The sequence below is a fragment of the Homo sapiens genome, chromosome 1, assembly GCF_000001405.40.
Source record: "Homo sapiens chromosome 1, GRCh38.p14 Primary Assembly".
NCBI lineage: Eukaryota > Metazoa > Chordata > Mammalia > Primates > Hominidae > Homo > Homo sapiens.
The window spans coordinates 143,373,487-143,388,573 of NC_000001.11; the positions used below are offsets into that span (position 1 = coordinate 143,373,487).

A 15,087-nucleotide genomic window follows, 5' to 3' on the forward strand; every position below is an offset into this window, starting at 1 on the left:
TGTCGCCTAAGCTGGAGTACAGTAGCGTGATCTCGGCTCACTGCAACCTCTGCCTCCCATGTTCAAGTGATTCTCCTGCCTCAGCTTCCTGAGTAGCTGGGACTACAGGTGCATGCCACCATACCTGGCTAATTTTTGTATTTTTAATAGAGACGGGGTTTCACTATGTTGGCCAGGCTGGTCTCGAACTCCTGGCCTTGTGATCCGCCAGCCTTGGCCTCCCAAACTGTTGGGATTACAGGCGTGAGCCACTGCGCCTGGCCTCAGGTAGACAATATTAACCTCATTATATGGATGAAGGCATCAAGCCACGGAGAAGTTAGCCCAGGGTAACACAGTGAACATGTGATACAGCCATGATTTGAATCCTAACAATCTGGCTTCAAGGCCCTCTGTGAAAGATGAGGTTGGATTAATTTTCTAAAAAAGGACTCTGTCAGCTGTAACATTCTGTTACTCTGAACTTTTCCTCCTGATTTCTTCCCTTGTCTTCTGCATAACACCGTATTGAATTGTAAGTGCTAGGGAAGCCCTGTGTGAATTGAAGATTATTACTGGGGCAGTGACTCACACCTGTAATCTGAGCACTTTGTAATCCTAAGGCAGGAGCATTGCTTTAGCCTAGGAATTTGAGACCAGCCTGGGCAACAAAGGGAGACCCCAGCTCTGGAAAAAAAAAAAAAAAAAAAAGCCAGGCATGGTGGCATGGGCTCGTGGTCCCAGCTATAGCTACATGGGAGACTGACGCAGGAGGATCACTTGAGCCCAGGAAGTCAAGGCTGCAGTGAGCTGTGTTTGTGCCACTGCACTCCAGCCTGGGCAACAGAGGGAGACCCTATATAAAAAAGAATAAAAAAAAAAAAAGAAAATTTCATAGTGTTCTGTGAAAGTAAAATTAATGCTACGATATAGTTTTTCTCAGATTTTTTTTTTTTAGACGGAGTCTTGCTTGTCGCCCAGGCTGGAGTGCAGTGGCATGGTCTCGGATCATTGCAAGCTCTGCCTCCCGGGGGTCACACTATTCTCCTGCCTCAGCCTCCTGAGTAGCTGGGACTACAGGCGCCCACCACCACGCCTGGCTAATTTTTTGTATTTTTAGTAGAGACAGGGTTTCACCGTGTTAGCCAGGATGGTCTCAATCTCCTGACCTTGTGATCTACCTGCCTCGGCCCTCCAAAGTGCTGGGATTACAGGCATGAGCCACCACACCCAGCTGCTTTTCTCAGATTTTATAAGTAATATACACATATCATAAACTAAAACAATGACAAAGTGTGAAGCAAAAAAATCCACAACACTTACCCAGAAATGCAGTAAATGCTGTGAATGTTTGGTTATTTTTTTGTAGTGTGCCATTTATTTATAGTTGATTTTATACTATATATTTGATCTTTTTTTATTGCAACCTTCAATAAGAGACAGATTTTACACTGTAATCCAAACACGCACATACTTATGTGTGTATGCTTGATGAAATAATACTTAATTTTACTGTATCAGAGATGCTTCCAAATTTTATCGGAGTTGATTCCACTCCATTCTATCCTATTCTAGTCCACTGAAAATTATTTCTGCTACAAAAAAGTTGGTTGCTACCTGATTTTACAGCCTTGTACTGGGTTGTGACTTGCATTAAAGAAATATACAGTTTGTTCTTACTTTTTTCCATTTTCCTTGAAACGAGATTACTTTCTTAATATTAAAACACATCCTGGCTGGGTGCAGTGGCTCATGCCTTTAATCCCAGAACTTCGGGAGGCTGAGGCGGGCAGATCGCATGAGCTCAGGAGTTCAAGACCAGCCTAGCCAACATGGCGGAACGTTGTCTCTACAAAAAATATAAAAATTAGCCGGGAGTGGTGGCATGGGCCTGTGGTCCCAGCTACTCAGCAGGCTGAAGTAGGAGGATGCTTGAGCACAGAAGGCTGATGTTGCAGTGAGCCAAGATTGTGCCACAGCACTCCAGCCTGGGCAACAGAAGGAGGCTCTGTCTCAAAACAAACAAAAAACAAAACAACCCCCCCCATACCCAAAACCATAAAGCACATCTTAATTATAACGTGCAGTGGCTGTCTACTATCTCATTGTTGGGATATACTAAAATTTACTTAACAATTTCTAAGTTGTTGGACCTTGAGCTGTTCCTCTCTCTCTCTCTCTCTCTCTCTCTCTCACACACACACACACACACACACACACACAATTTTACCTGACTTTTTTTTAAATTATTTTTTGAGACTGAGTCTCGCTCTGTCACCTAGGCTGGAGTGCAGTGGTGTGATCTCAGCTGACTGCAACTTCTGCCTCCCAGGTTCAAGCGATTCTTCTGCCTCAGCCTCCCCAGTAGCTGGTATTACAGGCTTGCCACCACACCTGGCTAATTTTTGTAGTTTTAATAGAGATGAGGTTTCGCCATGTTGGCCAGGCTGGTCTCGAACTCCCGACCTCAAGTGATCCACCTGCCTTGGCCTCCCAAAGTGCTGGGATTACAGGGCTGAGTCACCACTCCTGGCCTTACCTGACTCTTTGATTACATTTTTTTATTTGTCCCTTTGAGTAGAAGGGTAGAATGGAAAGAATGGAATTATGGGTCAGAGACTGCATCGCCTTCAGGGCTTTGGTGACCTGTTTCGTCATTTACTTGCAGCATCTGCCTTCCTGTGATGAGAGGGCCCTCCATATGACAGCCAGCTTCTCTTCCAGAAGGTGGTGCCCGTTTACTTTCCCCGCACTGATATCGGAGAGCACCTGTCTCCTGCATGCTTGCTAGCACTGGAGTCTTAAGAGGCATATCTTTTGCTAATTAAAAGGGGTATTTTCTCCAGAAAGTATTTTTTAAAAATAATCTTAAAAAATCACACATGTAAATCATCTTCACAGAGAAAATTTAGAAAATACAGGGAAGCAAAATCTAGAAGAGATTAAAAATCATCTGTCATTTTTCCACCCAGAGATAACAATTGTTGACATTTTAGTTTGTGTCCTTCCAGGTTTTTTCCATCTGTCTGTGTGTGTGTGTATCCATCTATCTATCTATCATCTACATATCTATTTTTTACAACAATAGAGTCATCTTCTCTATCCTCTTTGGCAACTCACCAAATAAATGTGATTTAGGTAATGAATATGCTTTGGGGATACTCAGGGCTATCAAATTAGCCATGATATTAAACGTGATAATAAGCCATGACATGAAAAAGCTTGTAATCCAGTGGGAAGACCCAAGCCTGAATCCACAGTGGAAACAGTTTTCTGTGCTTTTCTGCTTCCCCTTGCACCTGCTAATAGCCCCCCTGTGTGATCAACCTGTCTCCCCTAGTTTTAGATGACCACACACCGCAATGTAACTGCACGCCCCCAACTCTCTGCACCACCATCTCCCACGGGATCTACTATATCTACTACCTCTACCCCTTCAACATAGAGTATCAGATCCTGGCCTCCACAGTGCTCTACGTCCTATGGAAGAACATCGGGCGCAAAGTTGACAGCCATCAGCACCAGAAGATGCAGTTCAAGCCTGATGGGGTCAGAGTGGGCACAGTCCTGGGCCTGACCGCGCTGGCCGCCACCATTGCCGTGGTGGTGGGTGGTGTACCTGATTCATATTGGGTGCTCCAAGACCAAGAGCAAGTCAGCACTCATCACGTTCTACCTGTATGTCATCACCCTGATGAAGCTTATGGGGGCTGCGGGGCTGGCTGGAATCCGGATTTACAGGACAGATGAGAAGTCACTGGATGAGTCCAAAAATCCGCCCCGCAAACTGGACTCGGACCTCTTGGTGGGCACTGCCTCAGGCTCCTGGCTTATCTCCTGGGGCTCAATCTTGGCCATCCTTTGTGCCGAGGACCACCCCCACTACACCTGGTACAACCTGCCCTACTCCATCGTGGTGATCGTGGAGAAGTACATCCAGAACCTCTTCATCTTTGAATCCATTCACCGAGAGCCTAAAAAACTCTCTGAGGACATCCGAACCCTTCGGATGGTCACAGTCTGCAATGGCAACACCATGCCCCTTGCTTCCTCCTGCCTCAAGAGTGGAGGTGTGGCCGGAGACGTGGCTCCCTGGGGCAGGGACATGCCACCAGCAGCCAATGGAAATGTGTGCCTGAGAGAAAGCTGTGACAAGGAGGAGAAGCACGAGGAGAGCAGCTGGGGAGGGAACCCAAGCCCAGTCCACCTTCCTCGTTTCTTACAGGGCAACGCCAAGAGAAAAGTCCTGAGGAATATTGCAGCCTTCTTGTTCCTCTGCAATACTTTGGTAATCTGCACCAAGTTATTCTTATTCTTTTAATTTTGCTGTAAACTTTCATTTTAGGTTCAAGGGGTACGCATGCAGATTTGTTACATGGGTAAATTGCGTGTCGCTGAGGTTTGGTGCACAAATGATCCCGTCACCCAGGTAATGAGCATAGTACCCGATAGGTAGTTTTTCACCCTGCACCCCACTTCCGACCTCTCCCCCAGTAGTCCCTAGTAGTGTCTATTGTTCATATATTTGTGTTCATGACTACCCAATGTTTAGCTCCCACTTATAAGAGAGGACATGAGGTATTTGGTTTTCTGTTCCTGTGTTAATTCACTTAGGATAAGGACTCCATTTCTATCCAGGTTGCTGCAAATAATGTGATTTCATTCTTTTTTTAAGGCTGCATAATATTCCATGGTGTAGAGCTACCACATTTTCTATTTATTTTTTTTTTTGAGAGAGGGTCACGCCCCATTGCCCAGGCTGGAGTGCAGTGGCATGATCACAGCTCACTGCAGCTTCGACCTCCTGTGCTCAAGCAATCCTCCCATCTCAGCCTCCTGAGTACCTGGGACCACAGGCATGTGCCACCACACCTGGTTAATTTTAAAAACTTTTTTTGTTTTTGAGAGAGAGTTTCACTCTTGTTGCCTAGGCTACAGTGCGATGGTGCTCACTGCAACCTCTGCCTCCCGAGTTGAAGTGATTCTCTTGCCTCAGCCTCCAGAATAGCTGGGATTACAGGCACCTGCCACCACAGTTGGCTAATTTTTGAAAATATTTTTAGTAGAGATGGGGGTTTCACCATGTTGGCCAGGCTGGTTTCGGACTCCTGACCTCAAGTGATCCACCTACCTTGACCTCCCAAAATGCTAGGATTACAGGTGTGAGCCACCATGCCTGGCCAAAACTTTTTTTTTTTTTTTTTTTTTTGTAGAGATAGGTTCTCACTGTGCTGCCCAGGCTTGTCTTGAACTCCTGCGCTCAAACAATCCTCCTGCCTCAGCTTCCTAAAGTGCTAGTATTACAGATGTGAACCACTGTACCCGGCCATAATACATTTTCTTTATCCAGTCCATTATTGATGGACATCTAGGTTTCTCTTGCCTTTTTAAAATAAGGAATGGAGGCAGCTTGTAATAAAAATACTGTAAGTATAAAATTACAATATAAGGCTGGAAAATAGACCTATATTCTACAAATCTACCTACTAAAGACTTGCTGTGTGCTAGGGGCTGGGCTAGGTACTAAAGATTAAAGTGGAAAGACTCAGTCTCTTTCCTCTAAAAGGTCTCAGTATAATGGGGGAGGGAGACAATGAGCAAATCTAATATAGTGAACAGGACAAGTGCTGAGATGGGCTTGTGCAAGGTGTACTAGGAGCAGGGATCCAGAAGGACTTCAGTGAGTAGTGGGTGCTTGAGGTGAGGCCCAGTGTCAGTCAGGAGTGCTTTTAGTTGCAAGTGACAGGCAATTTGATTCACAGTGTCTTCAGTCTTAACAATGTTTAATTATCTCATGAGAATTCCGGAGGTTGGCTGCTTGGGGTTGGCCTGGCAGCTGAACCATGTCATCAGGCATCCAGGCACTGTTCATCTTGTCACTTGGGTGGTGTGGTGTTTGTTGTGACATGGTCATGAGATGGCTGCAGCTGCACCAGGCATCACATCTGGGTTCAAGACAGAAAGCAGTGGGGAAGGGCTGGTGCCAGACAATGTCTCTCATGTGGGCACCCCTCACTGCAAGGGAGGCTGGGGAAGTAGAGGGTTTGCTTCCCAGCCTCTCTGATGGAAGGTAGCAAGGGAGAGGAAGGTGTACAGTCACTCACCCATCTGTCTGCATCAGCAAGGAATGACTGGAAGTTCACCAGGTTATCAAGGCGGGGAAAAGCATTTCAGGCAGAGACACACAATATGTGAAGACACAGAGGCAAAAGACACCATGGCATGTTTTGAGAGCACCAAGTAGTTTGGCATAAATTCCATGTGTGTTAAGCAGAGTAGCAGAATGGGAAATAGGAGAGAGGGCCCAGGTAGGTGGACTCTGGCTTGAGCAGGGCTTCCTAGGCCTGGCTGGAGTCTAGTCTTTATGCTGAGGGCAAGGGAAGACTCTCTCAGATTTGTGTTTTGGAATGATCCTCCCAGTAGCTGTGTGTAGCAAGGATGGAGACAGATAGGGCCAGAAGCAGAAAGACTGGGAGAGAAAGCCCTGCAACAGCCCAGGCAGGAAGGGGAGGAGCTTGAACTAGGGCAGTGATGGAGGGATGGAGAGAAGAAAAAGGAATAAGAAGCATTGTGTGCTGTTGGGATTTTTTTAAAGACACATAAAGGAAGGATGGTGGGGGTCAGTAAGAAGGAGGGGGAAGCAGCCTTTGCCACCGCATGAGTCTCTGCAGTGATGGTGACTGGTGGCTGGAGGGGAGTGCCCCAGTCCACAGAGGTGCCTGCCCATCACTCTGGGTGAAGTCAGCTCTGTGCTACTAGCCTCTGTTATCAAGCCTGCTCCCTGTTGCCCCAGCAGCTCAGAGGCTTTTGAGCTTCCTCCCCTGAATTTCAGATGGTGCATACGGGGTCTGCAGCTTTTGATATCACCCTAAGAACACAAAGTTGGGAAAGTAAGTCCCGTCTAAAGTCAGAATGGCTGTGTGTCTGCCAAGCAAACCTGATCCACCCTAGCCTTGGATCACCCAGGTTCCTTCAGTTTGCTAGGCAGTGAGGAGGGGCTCTGAAGGTGGAAGGCCCAGAAGAGTTTGGCTGCAGGGAGACCCTCTTCTCCATCTAACAGACATTTGCCAGGCACCTGCTGTATGCCAGGGACTATGTCAGGGGCACAGCAGTGAGTCAAAAATTGAAAGAGTTAACAAGAGAGATAGATACTGTAAGCTGCATTTTTTTGAGGTGCATATTCCAAAATGCAAATTCTTATAAAGTCAGAGCTAGTTCTAGAATCTTCCTCAAGTATATGCTTTTTGTACATATCCTGTGATTAATATTAATATACATATATTTTGAGATGGAGTCCTGCTGTGTTGCCCAGGCTGTAGTGCAATGGTGCGATCTCGGCTCACTGCAACCTCCGCCTCTTGGGTTTAAGTGATTCTCCTGCCTCAGCCTCCCGAGGAGGTGGGACTACAGGCATGCAACAACCATGCCCAGCTAATTTTTCTACTTTTAGTAGAGACAGGGTTTCACTAGGTTGGTCAGGGTGGTCTCGAACTCCTGACCTCAGGTGATCTGCCTGCCTAGGCGTCCTAAAATGCTGGGATTACAGGCGCGAGCCACTGCTTCTGACCTAATATTTCTTTTTAAAACTAAGTTCTGAAAAGTTATCTTTCCCTGGTTGCCTTTTTGGTTGACCACTGGGTGAAATACTTGGCTTGCATTTTTGGACCCACTTGAAGAAAGATAGCACTGTCCGAAATACCAGAATCAAGTGGCAATTCATGGTCTGTCAGGACCCGAAAGCCAGACCCAGGGCCCAGTCCAAGGAGAAGGGTGGGCTCCGTCTCTTCCTCCCTGTGCTTGGCCCATGATGCCCCCAGGCACTGGTTGGGTTCTGGGGGGTTGAACCAGAGGATGGAAATCATCGCAGGGTGGAGTCTTAGGATACCCGTGCTGGCTCATGGGTGGCACTTTGAAACCTTGTGATTGACCCCAGGTGGTGCCAAAGGCATCTGGCAGAGAGCAAGAGCTGTCTTCTCCAGCATCGGGAGCCAGTCCAGAGGCCCCAGCTGCAGGTGCTGATGTGCATGTCCAGGTGGAGTGGGCTCCACTCCAGAGACGGACATGGAAATGTTAGTTGAATTTCCAGGAGCCGTGGCACTGGAGACAACAGAGGGTGGTTGTGGTGACCGGGAAGGGCAGGGTGCTGTGGGAGATGGGTCAGGGAAGGCCTCTTCTAAGGAAGGGTGTGGATGGGGCTGGGATGAGAGACTATCAGGGCAGAGCTGCAGGTGTGGGGAAGGGACGGATGCAAGGCAAGGCAGGGCTCACTGGACATGACCTGGGAGCACAGAGCAGAGGGCAGAGGGGAGACCACACAGGGCCTGCGAGCCAAGACTCAATCCTAAATGCAACAGAAAACCATGGAAAGGTCTACACTGAGAGTGACGGGATCTGACTCATGCTTATTTTGTTATATTTTTAATTGTGGTAAAAAACTCATCAAATAAACTTTCCCATTGCACCCACTTTCAAGTGTATAGTGGAGTAAAGTACGTTCACATTGTGCAAACATCACACCATCCATTTCCAGGTTATTCTCGTCTGGCAAAACTGAAACTCTGCCCCCATTAAATATGAACTCCCCATTCTCCCCAGCCCCTGACAACCACCGTTCTTTCAGTCTCTAGGAATTTGACTCCTAGACTCCTCATATAAGTGAATTTATGGAGTATTAGTCCTTTTGTGATTAGGTTATTTCACTCATCATAACATCCTCCAGGGTCTCCAGGTTGCAACTCGCAAAGGGTGACAGACGCCAAACATGACCCCTGCCTTCACACTTGAGTTCCTGGGGAGATGGTGATACTATGTTGGAGATGGAGGAGGACTCTGGAAGAGGGGCAACCTTGGGAGCAGTGGGTGGAGGTCAGTGTGGAAGGAAGAACCAGAGTTAAGTAATGAACGTGTTCTGTTTCAGGTGCCTCTGTGGCATCCAAATGGACGAACCCAGTAGACAGATATTTTGGTTTTCTATTGCCGTGCAATGAACTACCACTAATGTATGACAAAAGCAACATGCATGACTGTTTTTGTCCCATAGCATTTATTGTGACTCGTGGCTTTGTGGGTTAGAAATTCTGGCAGGGCTTGGATGGGCAGTTCTGTTCCTCACAGCATCAAGTGAAGTTGGTGAAGCCTTGGCCAGAAGCTCCGTGGTCTGGTGCCTTGGGTGGGGGTGGCTGGGAGGCTGGGCTCAGCCAGGACTCTTGACTGGGGCATCCACAGGTGGGTCTCCAGCATGACGTCTCAGGGTGGTTGGACTCCATGCTTGATGGCTGAGGGCCCCAGAGCTGACCCTCCAAAAGACTGAACTGGAAGCTGCCTGTCTCCTAAGGCCTGGGCTTGGAAACTGCATGGTGTCATTTCTGCCATATTTTATTAGTCATGTAGTCACAGAGTCCATCTAGATTCAAAGAAAGAGGTCATAGGCCACTTCTCAATAGGATAAGTAACAAGAATTTCCAGCCAACTAAACAGCACATATAAAGATGTGGATTTCAGAAAAGAGGTCCCATTTTCCTGCCTTCCTTTCTTCTCCCTTTTCCTCCCTGTCTCCCTTGCCCTTCCTCTCACCCTTCCTTTAAAAGGTGTCCCTTAAGTACCTACAGAGGTACAGGGACTGCTATGAATGGTGAGGGTACAGCAATGACCAAGATCTCTGGTCTTCCTCTTATGGGGCTTACAAACCAGGCAACAGCAGGTGAAACCATCAACTGAGCAAGAAAGACACCTTATAGTGTACCCGTGTTAAGCAGAGAAGTGGAAAAGGAGGGTGTGGGAAATAGCTCTTGGGCTGCCATTGTAGATCAGATGGACCAGCTTAGCGGGAAGGCCTCGCTGAAGGGTGACACGAGACAGGAAGGGGTTGGCCACGCATGTTCAGGGCAGAGGGAACAATGGCTGGTATAAAACCCCCAGTGGGAGTGAGCGGGTCTGGTTTGAGAAACAGGAAGAAGGGTTGCCTGCAATGTGGGTGGGGTGAGTGGAGAGAAGCGTGGGTGGTTAGAAATCAGCTAACAGAGCACTTTATCACTCCGTGCGGGAGTGTAGAATTTATTTTAAATATTTTGGGAAGACTTTAGGGGTTTAATCAAGGTAGGGACAGGATCTGATTTCCATATAATGTAAATCTGGTGGCCGAGTGGAACCCTAGTTCGAGCTGGGAGACCAGGCACGGGGCCACCGCCATGGTCCAGGTGAGAGAGGCCGGCTGGACAGGTGGAGAGAGAGAGCCACAGGTGGGCTGAAGATACTGCTTTGGAGGTGCACAGTGGAGATGCGCTGAGGGACTGGATGGGAGGGGGCATGGTTATGAGAGTAGGAGGGAGATAAGGTTGACACCTGGAGCCTCGATGGACCACCTGGGAGGACGATGTAGCTGAGCAGATGGAGAAATGGGGAAGGTGGGTTGAGTTTGAGATGTGTTTTAGACACCCAAGTTGCCACCGGAAACTATGAGTCTGGGGTTCTTGGAAGTGGTCCAGGCTGGAGATTGAGACTGGGAAGTCATAGGCCTATAGCTGGTATTTACAACCAGGGACTGGGAGAGAGCCCCAGGGTTCATGTGTAGAGAGAATAGAAAGGGACCCAGGAATGAGCCCTGGACGCTGGCTAACATTAAGAGGCAGAGCAAAGGATGAAACAGCAAAGGAGACTGGGAGGGACCCGCCGAACAAGTAGGAGAGCTCCTAAGAGTCACAGCAGCCAGTAAGCAAAGCAGAAGAGAGGGGTCTTGGTTCCAGGGCCCCCGTGGTGTATACCAAATGCACAGATGCTCAAGTCCTATACTTGCATGTAACCTACCCATCCTCCCGTACACTTTAAGACATCTCTAAATTACTTAGAATACCTAATACAATTTAAATGCTATGTAAATAGTTGTTACATTGTATTGTTTAGAGAATAATGACAAGAAGAAAGTTTGTACCTATTCAGTACAGACACAACAAACCATTTTATTTTTTTAATTAATTTATTTTTATTTTTTGAGACCGAGCTTCACTGTTGCCCAGGCTGGAGTGCAGCGGCATGATCTTGGCTTACTGCAAGCTTCGCCTCCTGGGTTCAAGGGATTCTCCTGCCTCAGCCCCCTGAGTAGCTGGGATTACAGGCACATGCCACTACACCTTGCTAATTTTTTGTATTTTTAGTAGAGATGGGGTTTCACCATGTTGGCCAGGCTGGCCTTGAACTCCTGACCTCAGGTGATCCACCTGCCTCGGCCTCCCAAAGTTCTGGGATTATAGGTGTGAACCACTGTGCCCAGCCTACTTTTTGAATATTTTTGATCTGTGGTTGGTTCAATCCACAGACACAGGTCCCTGGATACAGAGGTCGGCTGTATATACCAGGGAGTGTTCTGTATGGAGATACAAATGAAGGCTATGTGTCTCAGTTACCTATTGCTATGGAAGAGACCACCCCAATACTCAGCAACTTAAAACAATGTACATTTATGATTTCATAGTTTCTCTGACTTATGACTCCAACTACAGTTTTAGCTGAGTATCTCTGCACAGGGCCATTCCCAGGCTGAAACTGTTGGCTGGGGCTGCATTCATTTCAAGGCTTGACTTTCTGAGAGGTGGCAGAGGATTTGTTTCCAAATCTACTCATGTGACTGTTGGCAGGATTCAGCTGTGGCTTGTTGGGCTGAGGGTCTGAGTTCCTTGCTGGCTGTTGACAGGGGTACTCCCTGGGCCCCTTGCCGCATAGGGTGCTTCGCAGCATGGCAGCTCTGCCACCTGTCTTTCAGGAGAAGATGAGCAAGAGGGATAGCAGGTCCTTTTGCAACCTAATTTCAGAGGTGACTTCCTGTGTCTTTTGCCATATTTTGTGAGTTGGAAGTGAGTCATTAGGTGCATCCCACACTAAAGGGGTGGGGACTCCACAAGAGGGTGACTGCAGGAGCTGGGGATCATTGAGGGTCATCCTAGAGGCTGCCTGCCACAGCCAGGGAGTGGAGGAAGCTGAAGAAGGGTGCAGCCTGAAGCGGGAGTGAGGAGCCTGACAACTCAAGGGGTGGCAGAAAGGGAGAGAACTGGGACAGAGAAGAGCCTGAGAAGCAGGGAACAGTGTGTACGTTCTGTGAGCAACACAAACAAAAGTCACTGCTTTCAGTTTTGCAAACTTAATTCTCATCTAAGCCCTCTCAGACACGTGTTAGAATTCCCATCTTTCAAATGAGGAAACTGAGGCTGGGCGAGGGCTGTAGAGATGGAGAGAGTTGGATGGGTTCAAAGAGCGCTCATTAGGGATGGATTGCAGGGAAGGGTGGGTGAGGAAGTGAGCAGGATCATGGCAGACATGGATTTGGTGGTTTCTGTGGAGATGGGAAATGCCACGAGGTCTCCTTATTGTTCTGTCAGGGGTGACTCAGTCCCCGTGCATCAGGGTCAGCTCCCATGAGGCCTGGGACTTGAGTGGGGCCTCCGTGGTGGCTTGGAAGCTGCTCCCCACCACAGGCCATTTTCTCTTCTCTTGCAGCTTTGGATACCTCCCGCTTTTGGCTGTCGACCTGAGTATGACAATGGATTGGAGGAGATTGTCTTTGGCTTTGAACCCTGGATAATTGTGGTCAACCTGGCCATGGCTTTTTCTATTTTCTATGCAATGCACGCAGCTGCCTCCCTCTTTGAGGTCTATTGTAAGATATAGTCTAAGTCCACAAGAGACTAACAAGTGACTAACAAGAGTGAGCTAACAAGAGTTCATTGGAGCCAACTGGGAATGGCCAGGTTGGACAAATATTGCCTGACAAACATGAGAAGGGCCACCTTTTGTCTGCAAAGATTGTGCTTCCTGTGGGCTGGAACTGCCCATCACCCCTGATGAATGTAAACAAGTTAGATCAAAATCCATAAGGTGGCTGGAATCTGTCCTTGGTTAGTTAAATGCTAATCAAGCCCAAATTATTTTATTGCCTTCTAAATGATTTAGAAGAATGTGATTCTGGCTTGGGAAAAAATCTATCCAGTTTGTTTTTCATAAAAAGCATTTTCTTTGTGTCATTTATCATGTGACTCCATACAACCTTTTCCTGACCACCTGCATAGTAATTTATACTTTAAAAATTTATCCTTCTCAAAGCCTATGAATTTAGACACAATCACTATTGTTTCTGAATAGGTTTAATTTCTTGAAGTTATTTTTATCAGCTGGATAGAAATTTGTATACAGACCCATATAAAAACACATTTCTTACCTGAAATGTTGGCACATTTTTGTGATCATTTTCAAGTATTTTTAAAAAGAAATTTCACTGTTCTCTCTTTCACTGTAAATACACACATGTTTATTGTAAAAAATTTGGATATTTCAGAAAAGTAGAGAGAAAAAGTCACCTACGATGCCATTGTTCAATTAACAATTACTTTTAATATCTTGGTGTATTTCTTCCGACCATGTTGATGAGATTCTTTTTATTGTCATTATTATACCTTTGAATGGTGATGTAACATATTTGATTTTGTATTCAGTTATTTTCCTACTTAACAATATGGCATAAACCTTGCCCCCATATTGTTATAAGTTCTTTATAAATATCATTTTAATGCTGTATGATAGTCTATCAAGTGAATGTACCTTAATTAACATAGTTTCCTATGGTTGGTTTTACAGTGTTTATAACTTTTTGCTTTTATAGGTAACTCTGCAAAAATCAACCATATTTGTGAAGCATTTCCTATATTTAGAATTGCTTCTTTAAGATATGGAATTACAATTAGGATGCCTAGTCCAAAGATTAAGTTTAGAAATATTTCAAAGGTGCCTAAGGAATATTGACATTTGGGAGGCCTTTGTATAGCTTTTCCACAGCTATTTTAAAATAATAATAAAATTAATTTTCTTAATGTAAGTATTAATGTATCTTTTCATTTGAGTGTATTTTTTTTCAGACAGTGCAGGCAATGGGACAGTAATAAATACAAAGTTTTTTTTTAACATGACTAAAGTACACTTATTTTAGAAAAAACTAAAAAATAGGCATATATACTAAAAAACAAAGGAAAGCATCATCTATACATGTCCCATCTAGAGAATCGGTTCTCCAACTGGGGACCTTGTTCCTTGAGGGGACATTTAGCAATATCTGAAGACATTTTTTAATATTTATTTTTTATTAAAATTAAAATAAATCTAAATTATACATAATATTTATACATACTTACAGGGTACATGTGATATTTTGATATAAACATATAATAAATAATAATCAAATCAGGGTGACAGATATTCATACCCTCAGGTATGTATCTTTTTTGTGTGTTAGGAACATTCTAATTTCACTATGTTAGTTACTCTAAAATATACAATAAATTGTTGTTAACTATAGTTGTACTTTTGTGCTACCAAACACATTTTTGATTGTTACACTACTGCACCCAGGGATACTGCTAACACCCTACAACACACAGGACAGCCCCACCACAAAGTCTTCGGGCTGATTGTCAATGGTGCTGAGGTAATCTAGAGGTAATTGCTGTTAAGTATTGTTATCTAGGTAGCTATTAGTACACACACACAGGCTGGACATGGTGGCTCACGCCTGTAATCCCAACACTTTGGGAGGCCACAGAAGGATCGCTTGAGGCCAAGAGTTTAAGACCAGCCAGGGAACACAAACATAGTGAGACCCTGTCTGTACAAAACACAAAACAAAAAACCCAGGTGCGGTGGAGTATGCCTGTAGTCCCAGCTACTCATGAGGCTGAGTGGAGAGGATCACTTGAGCCCAGGAGTTTGAGATTGGGTAGTGAGACAAGATTGTGCCACTGCATTCTAGCTTGGGTGGCACAGCAAGACCCTGTCTCTAAAAAATAAAAATTAAAAAAATTATATATATATATATATATATATATATATATATATATATATATATTTTGTTTTTTTTATTTTTTTGAGACAGACTTTCACTCTTGTCACCCAGGCTGGAGTGCAATGGCATGATCTTGGCTCACTGCAACTGCCGCCTCCTGGGGTCAAGCGATTCTCCTGCCTCAGCCTCTGGAGTAACTGGGATTACAGATGCCTGCCACCACGCCCAGCTAATTTTTGTATTTTTAGTACAGACAGGGTTTCATCATATTGGCCAGGCTGGCCTTGAAC

At 45.7% G+C, this 15,087-nt stretch overlaps 1 long non-coding RNA gene and 1 pseudogene across 2 annotated transcripts in view; one reads left to right on the top strand and one right to left on the bottom strand.

The window, feature by feature from the left end:
* LOC100996736 (proton channel OTOP1-like) overlaps positions 1-13,803 on the top strand; it is a 33,069-nt pseudogene extending 19,266 nt beyond the window's left edge.
* Positions 8,996-15,087, bottom strand: part of LOC107985200 (uncharacterized) — a 42,281-nt gene continuing 36,189 nt past the window's right edge. The window contains exon 3 of one of the 2 annotated variants that reach the window (XR_001738207.2): positions 8,996-9,382. This is a non-coding gene — a long non-coding RNA (uncharacterized LOC107985200). Of the gene's footprint in view, positions 9,383-10,937; positions 12,497-15,087 lie in introns of those variants that run through there. The other variant, XR_007066536.1, reaches the window with a different exon arrangement.